Source organism: Homo sapiens, chromosome 11, assembly GCF_000001405.40.
Source record: "Homo sapiens chromosome 11, GRCh38.p14 Primary Assembly".
Taxonomy (NCBI): Eukaryota; Metazoa; Chordata; class Mammalia; order Primates; family Hominidae; genus Homo; species Homo sapiens.
In genome coordinates this window covers 122,108,552-122,136,520 of record NC_000011.10, presented here as the reverse complement: position 1 = coordinate 122,136,520, position 27,969 = coordinate 122,108,552, and the positions used below count along the sequence as shown (strand labels likewise).

Here is a 27,969-nt window from a genome sequence, read left to right as displayed (position 1 = left end):
TATCTAGACAAATGAAGCATTGGGAGGAATGTCAATATTTTAATAAAAAATTGCTTCCCCAGGACTGTTAGCAAAGACAACTCTTTTAAAAAATTTCGATAGTTTTGGGGGAACAGGTGGTTTTTGGTTACAAGGATAAGTTCTTTAGTGGTGATTTCTGAGATCCTGGTGCACCTGTCACCTGAGCAGTGTACACTGTACCCAATGTGTAGTCTATTATCTTTCACCCCCACTCCCACCCTCAAAGACAAGTTTTTTAAGAACTCTTTTTTACCCTCTATGTTGTACAAGCATTTTAGGTTTTCCCCATCAGGTAATACTTCAAATGGCCTATCTGGGACCAAAAATCAAAGCTGTTTTTATTGTGGCCATTGATTTAAATTTTTCTGTAATTGAATCTCCTTCATACCTGGCTTTGGGCCTCTTACAAGTAAATATAGGGACAGTCAAAAAGTCTTGCTTCCAGAGGGCTTAGGGCTTCTCAGCTGATTACTTGCCCAACACTTGCATACAGTGGTTAAAAGAATGTAGCTAAATTATACCTATTAAGAAGGTATAGATAATCCATATTGTCTGTAGATTGTGTTTCTAAGGTAATATAGGATAAACTTCAGGCCACTCTTTATTTTCAGAGGAGGTGTCTGGATGCTGGTCTGTTCTGATGAAAATGATGGTAGCAAGGAATTCTATCTGAGGCTTGGCCCAGCCATCGCGCTCTCTGCTTCCAGAATCCTGATTTATAATTTGGAAATCTCTTCTATTTGAGTACTGAGGAGAAAGCCTTCTAAATATAACGCATTACTTTCTGGCAGCCCATAGCTCATGGCACGATTGATTATGTTGCTTATCCTTAAGCTAAAGCATTTCTTAAAAGGTGATCATTTTTCTACTCTCTCTGTATAGTACAGCCAACCCTTGAACAACTCAGGAGTTCGGGGCACCAACCCGCACACAGTGGAAAATCCAAGTATAACATAACTACTAATAGCCCACTGTTGACTGGAAGCTTTACCAATAACATAAACAGTTGATTAACATATATTTTGTATGTTATCTGTATTATATACTAGATTCTCACAATAAGGTAAGCTACAGATGAGAAAATGTTTTTAAAAAATCATGAAGAAGAGACAATATATTTACTATTCATTAAGTGGAAGTGGGTCATCATAAAAGTCTTCGTTCTTGTCATCTTCACATTGAGTAGGCTGAGGAGGGAGAGGAAGAGGAGGGGTTGGTCTTGCTGTCTCAGGGGTGGCAGAGACAGAAGGAAATCTGCTTATAAGTGGACTCATGAAGTTCAAACCCATGTTGAAGAGTCACCTGTAAATGCTAAAAGCCCCAGTAAGTCACTCTCAACTTCTTCTGTATCAGATGATGACATCTCTCAGGGGCACTTCTGACAATAAATTCAATATGGACTGTAGTATATATTCCTTTTTTATTTTTATTTTTTGAGACCACATTTCATTCTGTTTCCCAGGCTGGAGTGCAGTGGTGTGGTCAGGGCTCACTGCAGCCTCCAACTCTCAGGCTCAGTGGATCCTCCCACCTCAGCCTCCCAGGTAGCTGGGACTACAGGTGTGCACCACCACTCCCCGCTAATTTTCTTCTTTTTTTTTTTTTGGAGAGATAGAGTCTCATTTTGTTGCCCAGGCTGATCTTGAATTCTTAGGCTCAAGCAGTCCTCTCACCTTTGCCTCCCAAAGTGCTTAGATTACAGACGTGAGCCACCACACTCAATAATATATTCCTTATCTTGCAGAGTCTTAAGGTTTATTAAGCGAGAATACCATCCCAATAAACATAATTCATTTTGTTAACTTCATTCAGTGTCTCATCACACATTCTACCTGGGATTTATCTTTTCTAAGTTTTATTTTATTTTAAATTGACAAATAGTTGTATATACTTTTGGAATACAATGGAATGTTTTGACACCTATACATGTGGAATGGTCAAATCAGGCTAATTAGCATACTCATCACTTCAGATATTTATGATATATCTTTAATCTCAATCACTTTCATATATCATGCTTTGGAATTATCCTAAAACTTGGATTTCTATTGAAGGCTACACTCAAGGTTGAGGATATGTTGTTTGGGCTGTTTGTGTCCTCTGAAGCCTAGGTCAAAGACTAGCCTTTTTCTCTGTTTCCTTCTCCCCTCCCTTAGACAGCTCTTTCTTTTGTTTTCACAGAATACTTTATTTAAACAACTAACATATCATAGTATATGATACTCAATGTTATATATGTCTATTTTGTATAGTTTTTTGAATTGTTTGATTGGATAGACACCATGTTAACCATCTTTTTATTCCCAGGTTGACTCAAATAGGTGCTCAATAAGTGTCTGTTCACTTATACAAAGTTTTCTTTTGGCAAGCAATTTTTCACAAGTCTATGATTTAGGAAATGTTAATCTCAGGTCTCCTTTATACCCTTCGTGTAAGTTCCATAGAGGTTTCTTTTAGCATCTACAGAATTTTCACCTTTCAGTTCTGCTGTTGCTTCAGTGCACATGATCCAATCTGAAACACGTTCAACAGCCAATGACACTAGGCTGCAGTTGAGGCTTAGCTTTTGAAAAGTTACCTTAGCATGTTGGGAATCACCAGAAATTAAAGGGTTCATTAAACCATAAGTATATAGAAAATACCTCAGGAAGAAATATTTTAATGCTTATCAGTACAGAACTGACTTATTTTCATTACCTAATTTTTTTTTTAAATTTTAGAGTAATCACATTCAATTTTCCTGCAACAAAACAAAACTTACTGGGGAGAAATGTCCCTTGTTAAATGGCTGGGCCTTGATGTACCCTTTTCTATATTGTTCATTAGATGTAAATAAAACCATCATAGTCATGAAATTGATAAATTGCTTTGCTTTGATGTTACTAAACTTCTACAGTTGTACCTTCCTACAGAGCTACATCTCTTAGTACAGTTTTTGAAGTTTTTTTTTTAACTAAGAAATACATTTTATGATGATGTTGATAGTGATGGTAATGATGGCAATTTATTTTGTTAGTATTCACTGTGCAAATGAAATAGAGAATAAAGAATGAGTTACTTTTTTTTCATTTAATCATAATTGAAAAGTCCTTCAAGTTAAGTGATGTGCAATTATAGTATTAACTGTGTCTAGCAATGTCTATTCAATTTGATTCATTGGATATGTTTATTCTTATGTTTTATTTTGGGTTCCTAGGAATAAAGTACATAAATTTCTATATCTGGGAAGATTTCAATACAACCCTGCCTAAAAAGTTAATGTTATAATAGTTAATCACACATAAGTTTTCTCAGTCGATTTTATTTTGGCCTGTCAAATAATTCTTAATTTACCACTCTTGTTTTCTCTTTTTTCCTATGTCTACTTACAGTTTTAATCTACCAATAATATGGTCCATTGACAATGTGTTGGACCTTGTTCAATTTTAACTGTTATACAGAGGTTACATGTATATGTGCATATATCTATACATTATGTATTACATACATATTAAGCATATGAGAGGCACATTTATTCATTCATTCATGTATTAAATAGTACTTTACTGAGCATTTATGCTAGGTGCTATGGTAAATGCAAGATTGAAATGGTATTTTCTGCTCTCAACGATCTTGAAATGTAGTGTGAAGAATAAAATAATTACAAATACAAATGCGTTAATTGCAGTTCCAAAGTGCTGTGGCGAATCCAAGGAAGAGACTATTTCCAGTTGTAAAATCAGAGTAGGCTTCATGGAGAAATGTACTTTGAACTGGGGCTTGAAGAACAGGTAAAATTTTGATGGACAGAGATGAGGGGGGCAAAATATTCCACATAAAGAGAAAAGTGCAGACAAGGGACTTGATTAGAGAGAAATAAGACGTCCTTGAGAATGCAAAGAGTCTATTTGGGCTGAGACATAGTTTGCAAATAGGTTTAGTAGAAGAAAAGGCTTTACAAGTAATCTGAAGTCAGTTCATAGAAGAATTTGAATGCCATGTAAAGGTGTTTGAACTTTTGCCAGGTAGCTATGGGGAGCATGTAGGTTGATTAACTGTCTACTTTAGATGATTAATTAGCTTATAAAGTGGACAGGACAGGATGTGGAGAGACTAGTTAGGAACTTATAGGCTCAGGTGATCTATGTATCAGTCTGAAATAGAGTGTTGGCAGTGTGTGTAGAAAGGAGGGAATATTTGGCAGATCCTGTCTGTGCAATTGGATTTCAAGTAGATCAATAAGAATAAGAACAATGAAGACTTGTTGAAAGTTGATTAGGTAAATTAATTTATTTTGCATTTAAACAATATGTGTTTGTGAATTTTTGCAGAAATAGTTGGCAGACCAGCAATGGACACAAAAAAACCAAACTGATTACCGCGATCATAGTTTGCAAGATAAAAACTTGTAAAAGATCAAAAGATAGTAGATTGTGGGGTGCTAGTGAAAGCATCATCAAAGTAACTTCCCAAGTATTGCTGACTAAATAAAGCACAGCTAGAAGAGAGTGATTGGCTGGGGGAATAAGTAGGAGTTTTTGTTTTTAGGCCATAAGTAGGAGTTGAATAGATTCAATAGAAGTGCATAGTGGGATATGTGGTAATTAGGAAGGGATTTCCTGAAGGTGAAGCAGTTGGGGATACTGACACTGAAGTTCAGGTTGTGGCTGTGTATACCGATGACTAAAATGGAAAGGAGACAAATATCACTAGCATTGATGAAGCCAGGATACTAGAGAAATCCTCAGTGTAGTCAGGATGGGGGAAAAGACCATAAAGTGAAATAGAACTAAGTTACTTACTAAGTTGCTAATCTTTCAAGAATTCCTTTTATCATTTCAAATGCAAATATCATTATACTTATTTTCTTATTGACTCAAGGTGACAGCCAAGAAGTTCACAATCATTGCATGTGTTTATAGGTACAGTCAATCCTCATTATCCATAGATTCCATATTGTGAGTTAGCCCACTCACTAAAATGTATTTGAAATCCCCAAATTAATACTTGCAGAACTTCTGTAATCATTTATGGACATGTGCAGAGTGGTGAAAAATTTGTGTCACCTGATGCCACTGTTATTTGCATTTGTATGCTTTCTGTTGATGATTTTGCTGTTTAAAATGACTCCCAAGTGTAATGTTGAAGTGCTGGCTAGAGTTCCTAAGCATAAGAAGGTTGTGATGTGCCTGATGAGGAAAATATGTGGCTAATAAACTTCATTCCGGCATGAGTTACAGGGCTTTTAGCTATGAGTTCATTGTTAATGAATCAACAATACATATTAAATAAGATGTCTTTAAACAGAAACACACATAAAACAATGTTGTGTATTGATCAGTTGACAAAAATGTGGCCAGAGGCTTTTAGGAAACGAACCCTGTATTTCCCCTAGGGGCAATGCTTTAGTATTTGTTAATTCGCTATTTGCAGCAACCATGTAGAACACAGCTATCGCGAATAACAAGAATGGAGTGCACCTTATTCATTTTGGTTCACGGTAGCTGCCTTCGTTGTTTGGATCCTCAATCAAGTTGAAAACCAAACTCATAAATCTTATTTAACGTTTTATTCTGAAGTAATTTTACACTTATAGACAAGGTGCAAAAATAATGCAGTGTTCTCATAGAGCCTTCATCTAGCTTCCCCTAAAGTTAACATCTTCATAACCATAGTATCCAAGCCAGGAAGTTAACATGGTTATACTACTACTGACTAATCTACAGACCTCATTAGAATTTCTCAACCTTTCCCATAGATGCCCTTTTTCAGGTCCAGGATCCAATCCAAGATCCCACTTTGCATGTAGTGTCACATTTGCCCAGTCTCAATCTGTGACAGTGTCTCAGCTTTTCTCTGGCTTACTACTGGTCAGATATCTGCAGACTGTCCCTCAGTTTGGGTTTAGTCTGATGTTTCCTTGTGATTAGATGGAGATTATTCATTTTTGGCAGAAACACCACCCAAGCAATGATGTGCCCTTTTCAGTGCATCTTCTCAGGGTCGATTATGGCAAGATGTTGTCTCCTAGGTGATGTAAATTTTGATTACTTGGTTAAGGTTCTATCTCTCACTTTTCTCCACTATAAAGTTACCATTTTTCTCTTTGTAATTAATAAGTGGAATATGATTATTTAACACCAAAACCTTCCACAATATTACCTTTCAATCAATCAGTAAGCACATTATCAGTAGCCAGTTCTGTGCTGAGCACAGCAATAAGGCATAATGTTAAAATGGTATTTATTTTATTTTATTTTTTATGCTTATGGATACATAATGGTTGTACATATTTGTGGGGTGCATATAATATTTTGGTGCAAGCATGCAATGTGTATCACTGATCAGATCTGGGTAATAGGATATCCATCGCCTCAAATATATATCATTTCTTTGTGTTGGGAACATTCCAAGTCTACTCTTCTAGTTACTTTGAAGTATATAATAAATTATTGTTAACTATAGTCAACCTATTATGCTATTGAGTACTAGATCTTATTTCTTCTATCTAATTGTATTTTGTACTAATTAATGAACCCCTCTTTATTCCTTCTCCCCACTGTCCTTCTCAGCCTCTGTTAACCGTCATTGTACTCTCTACCTCCATGAGATCATGAATGGGTATTCTTTTGTTCATTGGGAACTGATCATCTAGTTGGGATAATAGAAATGGCACATAGTAAACAACATCATACCAGAAAGAAACAGAAAATTACATGTGGCAAATTGTCTGACACAGAATATATCCTGTAGGAGTGATCAGGGAAGGCTTTCTGTGGAAAGTGGAAATTTGTGCTGGACATTGAAGGGAAGATAGAATTTTTTTAGTAGAACTTCATAATTCAGTTAATTCAGTGAAATATATTGAGTACCTCAGCTCCTTAAGGAATCATGCTAGAAGCCAGGGATATATAGATAAAAAATAGAATCTCTACCTTCAAAGAGTTCCCAGTCTGGTGAGAAAGCCAGAGATGTCTGTCAGTGGAAAGCAAATATGATAAGTGTTGTGTAGAGATGGGAGAGGAGAGGGCTTTACAGGTGTGGGGACTAATATTACACCTTAGAGATGAAAGGAAGATAGTCTTCAGGTTATCTAGTCTAACTTTCTGCACTCCAAGAATGCCAAAAAAATTTCTGTGATGATGTCACTCAGTCTATACTTGAAAGCTTCTAGTCATAAGAAGTTAATTTCTCAAGACATCTTATTCCACTGCTTTATGTCTCTCATGGATAGAAAATAATATTTTTTATTGAGCCAAAGTTTACCTCCTCCAAACTTTCACCCATGGGTTTAGTTCCTACCTCCTTAGCTGCAGGGAGGAAATCTACTCAGATAGTCCTTCAAAACACTGACATTGCATCCTTTGTTGATGTCACTTCTTTCAGGTTAAACATGAATAAATCTATACATTATATGTATTTCTTTATAAATCTATACATTATATGTATTTCTTTATAAATCTATATATGTATTTCTTTATAAATCTATGTCTATACTATATGTATGATTTCTAGATCCTTCATAATTCTCCATGTATTTGTCAACTGACACAGAAACCAGAATTGAAAATATTCTTGAGCTGTCCCATCAGTGAAGAACACCATGTAGCTAGCCCCTCCCTTCTTTTAGCCAATGTAAGTCTATTAACTAAGCCTAAGTGTGCATTGGCCATTTTGGAAGCAAAACACTTGACTTTGTTCATCTTTTCCTTGTAAATAAGCCATGCCCTCTCACCCTTATCCTGACCTTCTCTCCTGAGAATTTTTTTAGAATAATAATTGTACGGAGTCTTCCCCCACCCAGTTCAGTTGGAGCTTTGAATCTAACATTCAAAATGTATTTATTTATGTCACATTTGGTGCTCTTCATTTTGACCTCTTGTTGGAGTTCTCTTTGAGCTTTGATCTTGTCATCTGGCATAGCTTTTGTTTCCCTCCCATTTTCAATATCTGCAAATTTGATAAGAATGTAATCTATTTTCATCCAAGGCTTTAATAAAATAAACAAGACAGGGGGTCAAGAACAGAGCTCTTGGGAAAACCATGTAGGTCTGGTCATTTCACAATATAAAAAACTCCTGCCTGTACTTTTATTCAGCCCCTGGAGGGAAGAGTGGTGCAGGAAGAATAGGATGTGCTCGCTGACAGTGATAAGCCTGACCTAACCAGGGCCCAATGTGGCATGTTGGTCAGCAGCTTCAAATCAGGTTATACTTCGGGGAAGATGGGTCACATTATGTCACATCCAGGAAGAGTCGTTACTGTGACGATGGCAAGTCTATAATGTTTTCCTGCTTACGGAGTTTTTCTCATATTTATGGACTCATAAATATGAAATGATATAAGTTTCCAGTGAAGATTTTGGGCTTAGGGCATGATAAATTGAAAGCAGATTTTAAAGAAAATTATCCTGTTAATGAAATTCTAGGTGGACTGGAGAAGGAAGTAACCAGAGAGGGGGAAGCTAGTCAGGAAGCTGCTGAAGTTATCCAAGAGGTAAGAAGCCTAAGAGCTTAGACAAAGACAATAGTGAAAAGTGGAGAGATAAAAGACACATGTGACTCAGAAGAGCTATAGAACGTTGTCACTAAAAATGGATTTGAGGAGGCTGCGGGAGGGGCAGATCTAAGATGACTTCCCGCACATTAAATCTGGAAAAATGATGGCACAGTGGATGGCAACAAGGAAACTGGTGAGTGGATCCTGTTTAGGGCAGGGTTAGTTTTATTGTTTTTATGCTTGACTTAATGGTAATAAGAGTTAAACTAACTGGGCCAGGCGCAGTGGCTCACGCCTGTAATCCCAGCACTTTGGGAGGCCCAGGCGGGTGGATCACGAGGTCAGGAGATCAAGACCATCCTGGCTAACACGGTGAAACCCCATCTCTACTAAAAAAAAAATTACAAAAAATTAGCCAAGCATGGCGGCGGGCGCCTGTAGTCCCAGGTACTCGGGAGGCTGAGGCAGGAGAAAGGCGTGAACCCGGGAGGCGGAGCTGGCAGTGAGCCGAGATCGCGCCACTGCACTCCAGCCTGGGCGACAGAGCGAGACTCCGTTTCAAAAAAAAAAAAAAAAAAAAAGAGTTAAACTAACTGGTAGATGAGAGCGGGTGACTGAAGAGTTACCACCTGCTATATTCAAGTAGAAAATTAAATGGCCTGTGTGTGGCATGGCAGAACTGTAGGATCACAGTAGCTGTCAGCACCACTTGGTTTTCTAGCACATAGGTCTATTGCAAGATAATTCATTGATTGAACCAAAGATCACTTAACTTTGCAGATCCATTTCAGATGTTGTAAATAGCAAGTATGATTATACAATCTTGGAAATGGAGTTTGGCTAAATAAGATATGTCCAAATAATGGAATGTGTCATAGGAATACAATTTTGGACATCTTATTTCACCACCAGCAATTATTTTGTAAAAGCTATCTACTCTTTAAATAGGATAGCCTTTCTACATTTTTTCCAATGGATACTCAGTTTATAGTCCTTCTACCCCACACTCCCATACACACACCAAAAATATGAGTGCAAGGAGAGAATGAAAAGATATTAACTTGAAGCCCCATTAATCAGCCTTTAGAGAAGACCCTGTTATTAAGCTCTTGATCATCATCATCACCAGACATTCATTAAGCACCTCATTGTGTTTATGCAAAGTATAGACGCATGGGCAAAACCCACATGAGCCTGCCCTCTCTGGGCACATAGACCCTTTATGCAAGAACTCAACAGAAAATAATGTAAAAATGACCAAATAAAAGTGCTGAAATGAGCCCCTCTTCAATTACATTAGCAGTGCCTCAGCTATCCTATTTTATTAAGGAATGAAATCCCCATATAAGTAAATTTTTATAAAAACAAGAGCTTACCTACCCAGGCATCACAACAACTTCTGCCTTTTCAGTCTCTATACAAATTTTCTGCGCCTAATGCACTGGGTGGCTACAGGTCACTGTTATGAACTGCCATTGTTGAATTCTACGCTCTCAAAAGTCTTTGTCTGCTTTTTGCCTTTCAGTCTGTATTTTGTATTGAGCTGTTGGCAGTTGCTTTTTTCTGCTCTTCTTGTGCCTGCTCCCAGCTGCTCTCCCAATTCACTTGTAGTTTGTTACTCCAAAACATCTTTGGGCCAGGGGAAAAAGTTAACCAAGATTGTCATAAATTGTAAATGAAATGAGTCAGTTTCCAATTCTGAGTGGGGCTATAAAGAGAAAGTCGTCACTGTATGGTGGAAACTCTCAGATGCTACTTCGAGTGTTTAAAGTGTTTCATTTGCTCACTTCTGCATTCTAGGCTGGACTCTGGGAAGTTGAGGTTGAAGAAACACTGACCTCTGGGTAAGGGAGGGCATGTTGCCATGTTGCTCTATTTACACTATTGTAGATTAGGTCACAAATTAATTTAGGGATACAAAGCAAAGTCTCATATCTGAAAAGTGGAGACTTTTCTATAATCAATCTGATAAGATAATAATTTAGGGCTGGGCATGGTGGCTCATGCTTATAATCCCAGTGCTTTGGGAGTCTGAGGTGGGAGGATCGCTTGAGCCCAGGAGTTTGAGACCATTCTGGAAAACATAGTGAGACTTCCATTTCTACAAAAAAATATAAAGAATTAGCCAGGCATGGTGGCACATGCCTAAAGTCTCAGCTACCTGGGGGGCTGAGACAAGAGGATCACTTAAGCCTAAGAGGTCGAGGCTACAGTGATCTGTGTTCATGCCACTGTACTTCAGCCTGGGCAACAGAGTGAGACCCTGTCTCAAAAACAAAATTAGCTTAACATGACGTTATGAAAATAAAGACATTCTACACCAATCTTGAGTGCCTTATTCAAAATATACACAAACACATACAATATTTTGTTAATTTCACAGCAGGCCACTTTCTTAAACCAGAGACAAATTGTTTTCATTTCACTAACTGGGAATACTGTTGTATTCAGTGCTTCTGAAAAGTGCTATCCCCAGTAAGTCCCAGCATGGTGCTCAGGAGAGCCAAGCACTTCAGAGGAGGCTAGGCACACCACTCTGGATAGAGACAGAAAAGAGAAAGAGTCACTTTGAAAATCGCAACTTTTATTACTGAAAGATTAAGACATGCCATGATTGGCTCACTGCTTCCGGTTTTGTGTTAAGCTTCTTGATGGTTACTTGTGAGTCCTTATCAGTAGTCAGGTGGGCTTTTCATGTGTCCAGCAATATGTAGCTTTTTTTTCTTTCTTTTCTATTTTTAGATTCTTCTGGGTATGTTCATATAGATACTCTCCTTTCTCCATGCCACTTGCTATTTTAAAGAAAATATAGTAAGATTTAAAAATTATGATAACTTCTAGATTGACTATTTTGAAATATTATAGAAATGGTTTGATTACAACCCCATTAAAAAGTGGGCAAAGGATGAGCACAGATGCTTCTCAAAAGAAGACATTTATGTGGCCAAGAAACACGTGAAAAAAATCTCAACATCACTGATCATTAGATAAATGGAAATCAAAACCACAATGAGATACCATCTCATGCCAGTCAGAATGGCGATTATTAAAAAGTCAAGAAACAACAGATGCTAATAAGGCTGTGGAGAAATAGGAATGCTTTTACACTGTTGGTGGGAATGTAAATTAGTTCAACCATTGTGGAAGACAGTGTAGTGATTTCTCAAAGACCTAGAACCAGAAATATCATTTGACCCAGCAATCTCATTACTGGTCATACACCCAAAGAAATATAAATCATTCTATTATAGATACATGCACGCATATGTTCACTGCAGCACTATTCACAATAGCAAAGACATGGAATCAACCCAAATGCCCATCAATGATAGACTGGATAAAGAAAGTGTGGTACATATACACATGAAATACTATGTAGCCATAAAAAGGAACAAGATTATGTCCTCTGCAAGGACATGGCTGGAGCTTGAAGCCATTATTCTCAGCAAACTAACACAGGAACGGAAAACCAAACACTGCATGTTATTTATAAGTGGGAGCCGAACAGTAAGAACACATGGACACAGGGAGGGGAGCAACACACAATGGGGCCTGTCAGGGCGGTGGGGGGGCAGGGGGAGGGTGAGCATCAGGGTAAATAGCTAATACATGTGGGGCTTAATATCTAGGTGATGGGTTGATATGTGCAGCAACCCATGTTTACCTCTAACAAACCTGCATGTCCTGCACATGTATCCCTGAACTTAAAATAAAATTAATTTAAAAAAGAAATGGTTGATTAAAGCCACCATTCAGATTACCTTTAGTAATGTCAGCAATAAGAAAATCTGTTCTTCTGGAAAATTAGAATAGTGTTTGTATCTCCTTTTATTGTCTTTAGTACATTTGTGCAGAGCGCCCAAGAACACAACATTCCCATTTCATACATGGTTAAACTAGAACCCAGGAAGGACCAAGGGCTCAATGTCATGCTGGGATATGGATAACAACAGGCCAGGGCTGTTTAGAAGGAACAAGACTTGTAGTTTAATTAAGCAAGAGGGGTTTGGTGGCAGCAAATTAAAGTGCCCCTACAGAGGAGTAATTTACAAGAGAGGAACAAGTCTAAGCAAGTAGATAGGTTTCCAAATTCTAAAGGCAGGTGATAAATGTGGATATATTAACAAGCAAAGCTGAAAATCACTCTTAGGGATGGGAGATGTTATGCTGTTTGCTGGCACAAGTGGCTCTAGGGCTTTCGGATTTTCATAGCCACAGAGAGGTCCAAAGACAAATTCTGCTCCTCAGTGAGACAAGAACACAGATACAAAGATTTGCTCATCATTGATCCTACCTAAGGGGCATGCTGAAACTGAACCTAATATTTCTAAGTTCATTGCGCAATTTCTTCCATAAAATTATGAAGTGACTTGCAGTATTTGAAAAGTCTTTCTCTTATCTTAGAAAAATTGTTTCAAGAAAGATGAGAGCACTCAATTTTAAAAAGGATTCTGATAACACCACAAAAAGAAAAAAACTTTTGAGAAAGCTTTTTTTCCTCCCAAGCAAATGGTTTTTAAATTACTTTTGCAAATGCTTGCATAATCAGTATAGGGGATATAGAGTTATTAGGAAAACATAGCAGGTATTTCACAACACGTAGAAGCACAACATGCTTCTCTAGGAAGAGACAAAGATGATATATTTATGTAAAAATTGAATTAAAGCCAAATTTAGAAATTAATCAGTCTCTTCCCCCAAATAAACACCTTAAAAATACTTTCTAGAGCAGTAACAGTCAATATCACCTTGGGATGTTGAGATGAAATTCATCTTAAATAATAAGATTGCCATTGCAATGGTGATGGGGAAGGGGAGACATGCTATTTATGGATTGGCTACTTTGTGTTTGGGGTTTTGTTTCATTCCACATTTAAACTTCCCAACAACCCCATAAATGAGGAAATGTTATTTCCATTTTACAGATGAGGAAGCCATGGTTTTGAGCAGCTTGCCCAACATCACACAATTATTCATAATGGTAGTGCCAGGATCCAGCGCTGAGCTTTTTTTCCCCAAAGACATATCTCTTTCCACTATCACACATTGTCCCCTCCCCACCCTTAACTGAGGCGATTTTATTATATTTGAAGGAAATTGGGCATTGAGCATAGTTTGATAAGTAACTATTCACCAAACTGAGATACAGGTTTTGCCTCGTGAATAGAAATGACAGTTGATTCCATTTATTTCATGACCGAGAAAGGGAAATTCAGCAAGACATTTTTGGCTGAATTCATAAGGTATTTCCTTGCTCTTTTTAAAAAGTTCCACCTTAGTCTCTCTAAAGCTTTTGGCTATAACAGCGTTGATTAATACAAGGTGGTTTCAGGACCCAAAGGCTAAATATATTTGATTCTTTCTCTTTTCATTTTTTTGTTGTTGATTCATATTGATGGACATGGATTTTTTTTAAGTCCAATGTGCCATTCTTACTCATTCTTGTAAGCAGATTCTCCTTTTTCTGACATAACATTGATGCAAATATTACCATGTACACATCTAACTTTTTATTATCTATAATAAGGGCCACCAAACTTTATCTGTGATGGGCCAAAGAGTAAATCTTTCAGGCTTTGCGGGCCATATGTTCTCTGTTGCAACTACTCAACTTGGCTATCACAGTGAACAAAGCAACGATAGAGAAGAGTAAACAAATGAGCATGACTGTATTCCAATAAAACACAGAGCAGGCTGGATTTTACTCAAGGATGTAGATTGCTCATCCCTAATCTAGAATATACAAATTTGTTTACTAACATAAATTAAAAAACAATCCAGATCCCTCTCTGGATTGTCATGAAGAGTTATTTGCTAGTGTACAGTGGAAGATGGAGAAATTATAAAGCTCATGTGAGGTCTGATATAATTCATATGCAAAAAACTGCATTTATTTAAAGTATACAGTTGATGAGTTTTAACAGGGCTTACATCCGTAAGACCACCACCATTCAAAACACAGACCATCTTCATCATCTCCAAAAGTGTCCTTGAGATCCTTTGCAGTCCATCTCTCCCTCCAGCTCTGGCCCTAGGTAAGCACTGATCTGATTTTTGTCTCCATACATTTGTATGCATTTTCTATAGTTCTGTATAAATGGAGTGAAACAGTATGTACTCTTTTGTGTCTGGTTTCTTTCATTCAGAATACCAGTTTTGAGACTCATCCATGTTGTTGCATGTGTAAGTAGTTTGTTCCTTTTTATCGCTGAGTAATATTTCATTGTAGTGTGGATATATCGTGGTTTGTTTATCCATTCACCAGTTGGTGGACATTGGGTTGTTTCCAGTTTTTTGATAAGCTATCAACATTTGTGTACAAGTCTTTCTGTGTACATATATTTTCATTTCTCTTTAGTAAACTCTAGGAGATTATTGGGTCATGTGTTACATGTATATTTAATTTTGTAAGGAACTGCCAGTTGTCCAAAATTGTTTACCATTTTATGTTCCCATAAGATCATATGTGAGTTCCAGTATCTTCAACTTTCAGTTGTCAGTCTATTCTATCTTAGTCATTGGAATAGGTGTGTAGTCATTTCTCATTGTGACTTTAATTTTCATTTCCCTGATGGCTAATGATTTTGAGGATCTTTTTATGTATGTATTGACCATTTGTAGATCTTCTTCTGTGAAGTGTTTGTCTGAATCTTTTTCTTTTTTAGTATGCTATTTATCTTATTATTGAGTTTTAAGAGACCTTTATATATACAAAATATGTCTGTCATATTGTATGTATTACAAATATTTTCTCTCAATTCCTGTTGTGTATTTTTTCTTAGTAGTGACTTTCAAAGGGCAAAAGTTTTAAATTTTCAGCAAGTCCAATTTACCATTTTTTTCTTATAGTTCTTTGTTTTGGTATCTTATCTTTGTTATCTTTGCCTATCCTCAAAGTTGTGAAGATTTTCTTCTATGTTTTTCTCTAAAGGATTTAGAACTTTAGCTTTTACATCAATGTTCATTATTAACTTGAGTTAATTTTTGTGTATGGTATCAGGTAAGGATCAGGATTAATTCTTTTCTATATAGTCATTTAATTGTTCTAACACCATTTGTTGAAATGACTTCCCTCCACCCCCATTGAGTTTCCTTGGCATTTTTGTCCAAAAAAAAAAATCCATTGACCACGTAAGTGTGGGTCTATTTTCGACTCTTTTCTGTTCCATTGATCTGCTTGTCTATTCTCTCTTTAACACCACGCTGTCTTTGTTATTGTGCCTATATAGTGAATCTTGCAATAAAGTAGTATAAATCCTCCATTCTTTTTGAATTACTTTGAAAATTCTGGAAACTGTGTTTCCATGCAAATTTTAGAATTAACTTGTCCATTTCTTCAACAACAGCAAAAATATATGCTGAAATTTTGATTGGGATTGCTTTGAATTTATGGCCCAATGTGAGAAGAATTAACATCTTAATAATACTGGAGTCTTTCAGTCTATGAGCCTGGTATATCTCTGCATTTCTTCAGACCTTTTAAAACTTCCCCCAGCAACAGTTTGACATTTTCACTGCAAAGGTCTTATACATTTTATTAGTTCCTTAGGGCTATTGTAACAAATTACTACAATATGGGTTGTTTAAAAACAACAGAAATTTATTCCTTAGTTTAAGAAGCCAAAAGTCCGAAATCAAAGTGTGGGCTGGGCTGATTCTTTCTGGAAGCTCTGAGGGAGAATCTATTCCGTGCCTCTCTCCTAACTTCGGGTGTTGTCAGCAATCCTTGACATTCCTCAGCTTGTAGGCACATCACTACAATCTTTGCCTCTCGCTTCACATGCTCACATGATCTTCTTCTTCTGCGTTTCAGTGTCTCCTTTTCTGTCTCCTATACGAACAGTGTCATTAGATTTAGGGCCCATCCTTATTCAAGATAAGACCTTTACCTTAATTACATGTGCAAAAACATTTTATTCCCAAAAAAAGATCACATTCTAAGTTCCAGGTAGACATATCTTTTGGGGGACCCAATGCAACTCACTACATTAATATTTTTGAAAATTTATTTCTGAGTGTTTTATGTTTTTTAATAAGTGGATTTTTAAATTTTATTTCCCTTTATTTGCTGTTAGTATTTAAAAATATAATTGACTTGTGTGTATTAATCCTGTATTTTGGTATTTTACTAAATGCAGTTAGTAGCTCTAGTCATTGTTATGTAGATTCCCTTAAGATGTTCTGGTTACATGAACAATTATGCTGCTTACAAATAGAGGCAGTTTTACTTCTTTTTCTATTTATGCTTTTCTCTTTTTTTTTTTTTTTTTTTTTTGCTTCGTTACAATGACTAAGATAGCCAGAGCAATGCTGAATAGAAGTGGTAAGAGCAGGTGTCTTTGCTTGGTTCTCAATCTTAGGGGAAAATTATATTATAGTTCACCATTAAGTATGAAGATAACAATATATTTTTTTGTAGAATGTTCTTTATCAGATTGAGAAAATTCCTCTCTGTTCCTGATACGCTGAGAGGTGGGTTTTTTATTTATAAATCATCAATAGATGTTGAATTTTATCAAAGTTTTTCTTCATGTATTGAAATAATGATATACGTTTTCTCATTTATTTTATTGATAATATCAAGTATGTTGATTGATTTTTGAATATCAAACCAAAATTACATTCCTGGAATAAACCCTAGTTGGTCAGGCTGTATTTCTTTTTTCTTTTTTATTTTTTATTGAGACAGAGTCTTGATCTGTCGCCCAGGCTGGAGTGCAGTGGTGTGATCTCAGCTCACTGCAACCTCTGCTTCCCGGGTTCAAGCAATTCTACTGCCTCAGCCTCCCGAGTAGCTGGGACTACAGGCATGCGCCACCATGCCCGGCTAATTTTTGTATTTTTAGTAGAGATGGGGTTTCACCATGTTGGCCAGGCTGGTCTCGAACTCCTGAGCTTGTGATCTGCCCACCCTGGCCTCCCAAAGTGCTGGGATTACAGGCGTGAGCCACTGCACCCGGCCAGGATGTATTTTTTGTATGTTGTTAGATTTGATTAAAATCTTGTTAAGGATTTTTGCCTCTATGCTTATGCAGAATATTGGTTTATAATTGTTATGTAACTTTTTTGCCTGATTTGATAAAAAAAAAATAAGTTGTCAAGAATTCCCTGTTCCTCTATTTTTTGAAGAATTTTATAAGACTAGTGTCATTTTGTACTTGAATATTTTGATTCAAATCACCAGTGATACCATTTGAAGCTAAAATTTTCTGTGTGGAAAGGTCTAGATAATGAATTGAATTACCCTAATAAATATAGTGCTATTTAGGTTTTCTGTTATATCTGTGTCAGTTTTAGTAGGTTGTATTTTTCAGTGAATTTGTCCATTTTATCTAAGTTACTAACCTAGTTATTTTTGTATATCTAGCCTAGATATTTTCTCCTCTGTGAAACCTTCCCTGACACTACCAACAAAAGTGATTTCTTGTCCTTCGAGTTACTTCTTTACTCAGTATCATTTGTTCTCTCCATCTTCTGTTGAAGTTTGTTCACATGTCTCTTCCTGTACTAAATTAAGGGCCTAGGCTGGGCGTGGTGGCTCACACTTGTAATCCTTGCACTTTGGGAGGCCGTGGCAGGTGGATCACCTGAGATCAGGAGTTCAAGACCAGCCTGGCCAACATGGTAAAACCTTGTCTCTACTAAAAATACACAAATTAGCTGGGCATGGTGGCGGGTGCCTGTAATCCCAGCTACTCAGGAGGCTGAGGCAGGAGAATCACTTGAACCCGGGAAGCAGAGGTTGCAGTGAGCTGAGGTTGCGCCACTGACCTCCAGCCTGGGTAACAAGAGCAAGACTCTTGTATAAAAAACAAAACAAAACAAAACAAAACAAACAAAAAAAACCAGAAGAAGAAAAAAAAAAGAAAAAGAAAAAAAATTAAGGGCCCTGGAGTTCAATAATTGCATCTTATACATCTTTGGGTCTTTGCCACCTTGTATGGTGCCTGGTATATAATTAGATCACCCCTTCTCCCAAATGTTTAAATAACCAAATTATTCCACTTAACCTTGTCTAATGTATAGTGACCCAGCATGTTTCTAGCTTTCTCAGTAGATTATGAGTCTCTTTTATAAAAATGGTATGCATTATTTATTCTTCATATTCCATGTCTCACATTATAATAAATTTTAAAAACTGTTAAATTGAATAGATTTGCCACAAAGTACAGAAAATTAGTATTCTATAAACTCAAAGAGAAGAGGCCAAATAGAAATCTGGAAAGCATTCATCAATAAAGAGAGGAAAAAAACATTGCAAAGTTCTTACTATATACCAGATCTTGTGATAATTTATATTCCTTCCCTCATTAATCCCCCAAATAATTGAGCAAAGAAGATATTATGGTCCCCATTTTACAAATAAAGAATCTGATGTTCAGTAAGGTTAAGTACTCTGCCCAAGTTCAGAGTTATTAAGCAGCGGACTTTGGTTTGAAATCTATATTGAATGATCCCATTATCCACATCCTTACTTTTATGCATTCAGTTTTCCACAAGACACTTGATGGAATTTCTTATACTACCTATAAATTTTGCTAGAGTAGAACATTCTGTGTTCCCCCTAATTGAATGTTACAGGCCCCTCTGTAAATTTAGGAAAGTTCCAAAGTGTTCCCTGGATACTTGTTCTGCCTCTAGCATGAAATGTACAAAAGTAGCAGAGAAGATCCAAACCAGACTTTGCTCTCAGAGTAGGCTGCATAACTCCCTCTTGTCTTCTCCACTGGTCTACATCAGTCTTTTGTCTACAACCCTGACTTTTTTAAAAATGGTATTGGATGCTACCATTATGGTTATGGTTAACTGGGGGCATCATTGGTGCCTGAGTTTCTACTCAAATAACATAAGGGAAATCAAGAGACCAAGGCCATGATGACTCAAGCAGTCTCCATGGCTTGGTGGTAAAGGAGTGAATCCTTCCTTACAGCTGATCTTGCCTTTGTATATGTCACATATTGGTCCTGATTAGAAAGGTCTATAGGCTAATTTGTGCAAGACACATTCCTTCTCATTATACCATGATACAGGCCATGTGAAACACCAGATTCAATCTTATAGCCTCTCTGCTGCTGCTAAGTAAGAAACTTCTACTTTTAGTGTCTTTTCTCTCTCAACACAAAAATACTCTGTAAGTCACCCAGATCTGGGTTGCCCATGATTACCAGGCTTTTCCCAATTAGAAATATGACTCATGTTCCATTTTACCAATACATCTCAGGCACAGAACTAGCAAGGAAAGACAAAATTAAAATGTTTCTGTAATTCCAGCCCATCAATTGAAACAAGATGTTTCTGAACTTTTCCCAATGTGAAGAACAAAAAGTAATAGCATTTTGTTTATTTATTTGTGTACAACACTGTGGTCAGGAACTTGTTGCTTCCCCAGGGAAATTGCTTGCAAGCATCACTGAGAAGAGGACTTAACAATTCACACTGATCATTCCCTGTGGTCTGCCATGGCGAGGGTGATACTTTCATGTTTTATAAGCACCAGACAAGAGAGCTGGATCAATTTTCTCTCTCGATATTCTAGTCTCTGTTGAAACGACTCCCTCAGACATCAGCAGCTCCGGGTTCTTTCTAAAAAATAAAGTAAGTACTCTTAGGTCTGTTCACAGTAAGGGACAAGAAGTCCAAAACATATCCCTGCCTTTTACAATTCAGAAATCAACGTGGAGATCTTTCCTACTTTTAGGCAGTACATACAGCTTCGCTGAGGTCTGTGTGTCAAACTTACTGAGAGGAGGACATCGTGGAGACTTATCGTTAATTAGCAATGCTTATGCATGCAAACCTTGGTCAGATGATGTTGTGTTTGGAGAAAAGAGAGAAGAGAATTGAATAAGTACATGACCCCTTGGAAGCTGTTTTCAGTTGAGGATTTTGGTGAGTAGCCACTTGAAATCAAGGGAAATTCCATGAATAGCAGGAGCTGGGAAGAAAGGAAGAGGAGGAAGGATCCCACCACTTTTTTCTTCCCATCTAACACCGTGCTTATGCAAAGCATAGTCCATATGAGATCTGCCTTATAAAAACTTGCTGAATAAAGCGAATGGAAGTTAAATTTTGGACTTTCTTCCATAATAGCTTCAAATTATGGTGACTTTGTTGCCTATAGAGGGCCAGGAAATACATTTCTTTGAGATCCTAGAATCTGAGTGTGTGCTCTACACAGGATGGATAGAGCGAGCCTCTGGCAGTTCCATTTATCCAGAGGCAAAAGCACGCCTGCCACTGGAGGCGCTCTTGGGTTCCAACAAAGAACCTATGTTGCCTAAGGAAACAGTGCTTTCTCTTAAAAGGTACAATCTTGGCTCCTCTGCCATGAAGCGGAATGTTCCTGGACATGTGCTTCAGAGACCTTCCTATTTAACCAGGATACAAGTTACATTGTTATGCAATTCCTCTGCTGAGGCCCTGTAAAAGGAGTGAGTTAGGACAGATGCAGCAAGATATTAGGACAGATTTCGCCCATTATTCAGGCTGCACAACACAGAAGGAAACTTGATTTCAATAAGACCCAATTCTTAACAGTCTTTTCTACCCACTTTTACCCATAACTTTTCCAAATTTGGTTCAAATTGTGCAGAGAAACAATAAAATTTTTAAAAAGGATAAACTGGCTAGTTAAAAGTAAATGGCATTTAATTAAAACAAATCTTGCAAATTCATGAAAAAACAAAAAGCTATGTGATGGTAAACCTTAGGGCAGCGTACAGTGCCACTGTCCTTTGCAGTTTTGAGTGTATTTCATTTGTACATTGGAAGTAGGTACTTGTCATATTATTAACAATTACTCTACTTAGTTGTACACTCAGCATTTGGCATCAGAATAATCTTGTGTAGTCACAGGGTTTTCATTTTCTTTCTGTATTTTTTAAGCATGTTTCTGAGTGGTGGTTCACATAAGCTTTCAATTTTAAATAACACAATCCATTTATTTCACTAGGCGTCTTTATTTGCTTAAAGTGAAGAATCAGAGATTGTCATTGTGTTGTAAATAAGTCTAACCTTTCTTTCCCTTTACAAAAAAAAAAACCTGTGGAACTGAAAGAAATAGAAATTCCAGTAATCTTTTATGAACTCTGTTATTAGAGTGAGTAGAACTAAATCTGTGGGGAAAAAAGGAAAAGGAAATGGAAAAGGTGTTTCAGAGCTTTTACTTTAAGCTATTCTAGTGTCCCCTTCTCTGCTTTCTTTCCACTACCCTGACCCATACCTACCCACAGTGAGAACTGAGCCCGCAGGGCAGCTCAGAAGCTGGGAGGAGAGAAAGAGTGAGAATCTGAGTTATTTTTCCTCAGTGATCTTAAAAGCTCCAGGCAGAAAAGACCCTGCCTATAGAACCTCCCTTTTGCATTTCTCAATTGCATCGGAGAAACTCCTAAATTGCATCAGTGATCCTGAAGCTGTTAAAGTAAAGAATTTTCTGTAGAAGAAAGAAAAGAGAAAGAGAAAGAAAAGGCAAAAACTTAATCATGCCTGGGATCTTTTGAGGTAGAAAAAACTGACAAGAAACAAACTTTCCTTATATTCTAGTGTGTTGGAAAACAGTGGAAGGACTGTTTGCCAAATTGTCTTAGCGGTTCTCAAAGATGGCTGGCCAAATCATAAGAGAATACGCTTAGGTTCGTGTAGTTCTGAGTCCAGCATTGTGGGTGAAGCACAGGTTTCAGCGTAAAGAAATCTGCTGTCTAGAAACCATGGGAAGTATGTCATCCTCTCTTTTCTTTACCATATAGAGATCCTTCATGGATATGCTGTTGTTTGAAGAAAATTTTGTTTAGGAAGTAAGAAAAATATAATTAACATTGCCCTAAAGAAGCAAAGCTCTTTATTTTCATTTTCACTTCCTTTTGCTTTTGCATTGAAGAGTTAAGACAACATTTCAGCAGAGAAATGTGGAGAAGGGTAAAGAGAAATCAATAAAGTTATTCTGTGACTTTCCCCAGGAGGGAGCAGTGTTAATCGAGAATGGCTTGCTTGGCTATATATCAAGTCCGAGAACAGAGCAGCAGTTGATTGTGAAACAGATTTCCCAGCTAGACTGGAAGAGATATAAATACATACTTATCTATCATATACATATAGACATATATATACACACATACACATTATACATACACATACACATATATATAATTTTTATAAGAACAGTGTCTATGTGTGTGTATATACACTATTATAAACATTTAAATATAAATTATATGTATTATATATGTGTGTGCGTGTGTGTCTTTGTGTGATTTAAAAAGTAGATAAGAATAATTTCTTCAGATAATTGGTAACGCCAGACAAAACTCTTCGAATAATATTTCATATATATTGATCTGGGATCGTTTTACATTTTATAAGTTTCTCTCAAAAGTTTTTTGATGACTAGAGAAGGAAATTAATATGCAAGAGCCTCAAGTGACAGACAATGGAATGGAAACCGGATTTCTTGACCCAAGGCCAGCGAAAGCATCTTGACCGCAGGAAATCTTCTAAAGAGCCTCTATGGGTCATTCATGCAGTTACTTTTTCTAGCAATAAACATTACAGAAATTTTGAGCAGGTCTGATTGCAGCAGAGGTCATGAGACTGAAGCTGGCTCTGGGGCTGCCCAGTTTTATTGGGCTGTGGCACCATGCTCATTGGAAGCAGTGGTGATTTCTTTGTTGACAAATTCAGACAACATAATTGGGTGGGAAGTTGGCTTCGCCATCACAGTGTGGTCTTGAATGAGTTATCTATCTTTCCTGGGCTTCAGTTTTCCTTTCTATGAAATGGGATGAATAATTCTTGTCCCTTCACAACAACATGCTTTCTTGTTGCCCAAAAACCTTGTCAAATTTTCTTGGTTTCATCAAGCATCGGGAGATGTGTAGATAGCTAAATGGGAATCCCCTTTTCATGACCCAATCTGCTATGATGAATTTCACTGTGCTGAGACTCTTCACATCTCCCTTCTCCCATTGTGTATATTCAGACTCTATTTTTTCTTCAACATCAGCTAAGATGCTGTATTTATTTTCTAAATCCAAATTCCATCTAAATCGTAGCTGTTAAGAAAATATTCTTGTAAGAGAATGGAATCTAGACAGAGAGAGGAACTATGCAATTCTAGAATTTCCCTGGAGGGAACTTGAAAGTTCATCTAGTGTAATCCTCTCATTTTATAGTTGAGGCAGCTAAGGATCTGAGAGGTGAAATGTCTTGTCCAAGGTCACTGTGACAAAGCTAAGTGGAGAACCTATGTCTCTTAACTTGCAGTTCTATATTCCTTCCATTGGGTCGTGTGTCTTGGGACCACTATAACCAGAAATAGAAAATGAAGTCGAAGTAAGCAGACCAGACAAGGATATGTCAGCCTTTGGTTTTCCCCAGGGCCAGATTCCAACTCTGTGTGCATAACTCAGTGTCAGGACTTTAGCATCTTCATGAAGGATGGAAGATTCATACTGAACACTCTTTTTTACCCCTTCCTGTCCCATTAGACCCAGCCCAGAATCTAGATCTAATTGAGCTCTCACTTTTCCTTATTTTGGACATGGTTGTGCTTGCACTTCATCTTATAGCTCTTAAATTTTATCTTCACATTGACCCACTCATTTTATATTCCATATTTACTGAGAGCTTACTGTGTGCCAGTCATTCTATAATGGGCTAGAGATATAGGGAGATATATCTCTCCGTGTCTTAATTACAATCATAGTGCAACATGTCCTGTGCATGGTGTGCTTACAGTGCTGACGGGGTGCTGAGGAAGGGGAGACTGAGATCACTGAAAGCAGTCAAAAAATACTGAGTAGATCATGTGATAATTCTTCTGCTTTTATTCCCCTGCCCCCTTTATTATCAGGGCAGAGAAGTTCATTTTATGCATTGGTATTTTCTAGGTTAAGCGCTCCCTGTTTTTTTTTTTTTTTTGGTTGTTGTTGTTTTTGTTTTGTTTTGTTTTGTTTGAGACAGAATCTTGCTCTGTCTGCCAGGCTGGAGTGCAGTGGCACAATCTCGGCTCACTGTAACCTCCGCCTTCCAGGTTCAAGCGATTCTCCTGCCTCAGCCTCCCGAGTAGGTGGGATTATAGGCACCTGCCATCGCACCCAGCTAATTTTTGTATTTTTTAGTAGAGACGGGGTTTTGCCATGATGGCCAGGCTGGTCTCGAACTCCTGACCTCAGGTGATCCACCCGCCTTGGCCTCCCAAACACTCCCTGTTTTTAGCAGAAGAGAAATAACATGTCGAATTCTTCCCTCCCTTCCATGCCCACCGCCAGACTAGCTACTTCACCAGTTCTTCATGAATTTCCTTAACAAGGCTAATTTACCGGTACTTCAAATAATTCTTACTGCTCTGTGGAAAGCAAGGCACTGGGGCTCAGAGATATATGCATATGTCGAGTAATTGAAGTGAACATGCTGGTCATCAGTTATTTCCTCCTGTAGTTTGGTTCTCCAATCTGTTTTATCTGTTTCCTTTGTTTTTAAAAACGCATTAAGAGACAGACATGATGGTGCTCACCTGTAGTCCCAGCTACTTAGGAGACTGAGGCAGGAGGATCACTTGAGCCCAGGAGTTCGAGGCTGCAGTGAGCTGGGATCATGCCACTGCACTCAGACCTGGGCAGTGAGACCTCATCTCTAAAAGGAATAAAAATAACGTTAAAAGACATTGACAGGTAGACTCCTAACTATTTATTAGAAGCACCCAAATCACTGTTCACATTCTAAACAGAATCTAAACAACAACCAGATGTTCTTTTTATTTTCAAAGTATGTTTTTTCCTTTCTTACCTTGGAACTTTTCTTACTTTTCCATAAATTATAAGATGTGTATTTTGAGTAATTCAATTCATGACAGGAAAGGCAAATCATCAATTAAAGATTCCTTTTGTGAGTTCAATCTGTTGATTGGTCTGTGCTCCATAATGCTACAACCTAGATTATATTAAATTTCCAGAAGAGTGCAGAATAAACAATCATTTGTAAATCACCTATTATGCAGCAGACATAGTGGTAAGCATTAGTAGCATCAAAATGAACACATGTCCTCATTCAGTACGTGTAAGTATCATGCACAGTTAAGCATATAGACCCATAAGCCCGTAAATCAAACAGTCCAGAACTGGGCTAGGTAGTCATAATATCACAGTGAATGTTTAAAGGCTTGGCTGGGTGCGGTGGCTCGCACTGGTAATCCCAGCAATTTAGGAGGCCAAGACCTTAAGATAGTATGAGGCCAGGGGTTTAAGACCAGCCTGGGCAAAGTAGTGAGACCCTATCTCTACAAAAAGTAAAAACATTCGCTGAGCATGGTGGCGCATGCCTATAGTCCCAGCTACTTGGCAGGCTGAGGCAGGAGGATTGCGTGAGCCAGGGAGTTTGTGGCTGCAGTGAGCCATGATCATGCCGCTGCACTCCAACCTGGGTAACAGAACAAGATTCTGACTCAAAATAAAAATTAAGACCAAAAATAAAGGCTTAAGAATGTGAAAAATATTTACCTACCTCCCCCAGACTTTGGAGTGCAGGTTGGTTGCAAACTGTAGTTGGTTTGCTCAGTGCTGACCTGGATTGGAACATGCGATGGATTTTCACGAAGGGGAAAGCAGCAGACCCCAGAAGGTGAGCCTGGCTCCCTTCGACATAGTTCCTGTGGTATTCATGTCACTGCTATTTGTGGCAGGGAGACTCCTTGAGAAGTGTAGAATGCGCCGAATTTAAAGTCTCTGAGGTAGCAGTTTCCACCTTTAAAATATTTCTTGGCTTCTCCAGAGTGCCCCCTACTCATTGCTCTCTGTTTAAATCTCAGTGGGAATTCTGATACTACTGTTGCACCTTGGACCCAAAAATATGTCTCAAAATATGTTTCTGTATTCCTTTAATTTTACTTCTGCACACTCAGCACTTTTGACACACTTATCTATTTTACAAATGCTCAGGTAAACTAATCGCATCTTGTTGAAGCTCTTCCTTTCTGCGCTGTCATCAGTTAATTATGGGGTAAGCAAGATGCACAGGGTATGATTATTATTAACAACACCTCAGATTTACACAAACCCACTCTTTGAATGATGTTGAGGCAGTTCATACATATTAGCTCATTTTTCCTCACAACGGCTAGATTGAATGAAAGACCTAGATTATATTCTTGGTGCTATAACAACCTTCTTAGGAAAAGTATTTAGTCATTAATTGCCTCAGTTCCCAACTATGAAACAGGAATCATGATATAAAAATATTTGCTTCTCCCTCTCCTTATCCTAAACCTTTAGAATCTTAGTAGCTTAAAAAATGTAAAAATCTGAAGTCTGAAAGTAAAGAAGTGTGACTTTTTGAACATTAATAAAAAGTTGAACAGCAATATTGGGAGTATGACTGGAAACCCTGAAATCTGAATTACTAGGTTTGGTGCAAAGTTATAAAGTTATAAAATTTGGTGCAAAAGTTATAAAAATTTACCACAAATTTTTATGGTAAAAACCACAATTAATTTTGCACCAACCTAAGACAATCTAATTCTACTTAGTGGTGAGTCATTGCCCTATCTACTTCTTGCCTATGTATTGGAAAATACTTAGAGATCCAGAGGTGGGGAGTACTACAAAAGGAGCCCTATCTTCAAAAGAGCATTAATTTGGTCAGCAAAGATATCCCTAGGAACCATGGCATCAGTAAGACTGATTTGAGATGAGAACAGTCTCAAATCCAGTCCTATTAATGCCATGGTTCCTAGGCATCAGTAAGATGTCTCTTTACTCTTCCTCCACCTCTTTTCTTTCCCTCCCAACCACCAGGCTATCTGTAGCAGTTTCAAAACAATACAAACAACTCCAGAACAAATCCCTGGTCTGTATCCTTGCTTGAATATCATCTCTAGGTTCTTGGCCTTACAATCGCAATCTTCAAAAGTTCCAGGGGCGAAAAATATCCCTCTTTGCTTGCCAGCCTAAACCTAATGACTGAATGGCAGGGAACCTAGACTGAAATAGCATTTGGCTCTTAGATGACATCCTCTAGCCAAGAATAATGACTTTTATAATGTCAGACTCAATCCGCTTAGTGCACAGGTAATAGGCATCTCACCTTAGGGAGGGGAATGGTCTCTCTTTCCCTCTGTCTCTCTTTCTCTCTCTGTTTTCCCATTGTTAGACAGAAGCTTTTCTCCTTCACCTTCCTAAAACCCAAAGGCTGCTAAAATGTACTTCCTACAAATTGGTAGAGTTGGGCCCCAATGCAATCAATTGGCCATAGATTACCTTCCAGAGAGCTTCACAAACCACCTGGGCCCATCAGATAAGCACCAGCTCTTCTATGGAGTTAGGATGGAAGCCAGGAAAAGTCCTCTGAAACTCAACCAATGAGGTACAAGGAGGCAACAGAATTATTTTATATATTCATATCAATAAATATCACTAAATATATACTGAAGGATTAGCTCAGCATTGATTTTTCCCCTAATATCCTAAGATACTAATGAAA

The 27,969-nt window shown here is 37.6% G+C and overlaps 1 protein-coding gene and 1 long non-coding RNA gene across 15 annotated transcripts in view; both read left to right on the top strand.

The window, feature by feature from the left end:
* MIR100HG (mir-100-let-7a-2-mir-125b-1 cluster host gene) overlaps nucleotides 1-27,969 on the top strand; it is a 394,543-nt gene that overhangs the window by 286,351 nt on the left and 80,223 nt on the right. The window lies entirely within an intron of this gene.
* Nucleotides 20,306-21,181, top strand: BLID (BH3-like motif containing, cell death inducer). Its single transcript, NM_001001786.3, has one exon. It carries the CDS (start codon nucleotides 20,599-20,601, stop codon nucleotides 20,923-20,925), a length of 327 nt encoding a protein of 108 aa, NP_001001786.2. The 5' UTR covers nucleotides 20,306-20,598; the 3' UTR covers nucleotides 20,926-21,181.

What these genes read in the sequence shown, in the direction of transcription:
- BLID (NM_001001786.3), top strand. Translation starts at nt 20,599, where the DNA reads ATGGTGACTTTGTTGCCTATAGAGGGCCAGGAAATACATTTCTTTGAG.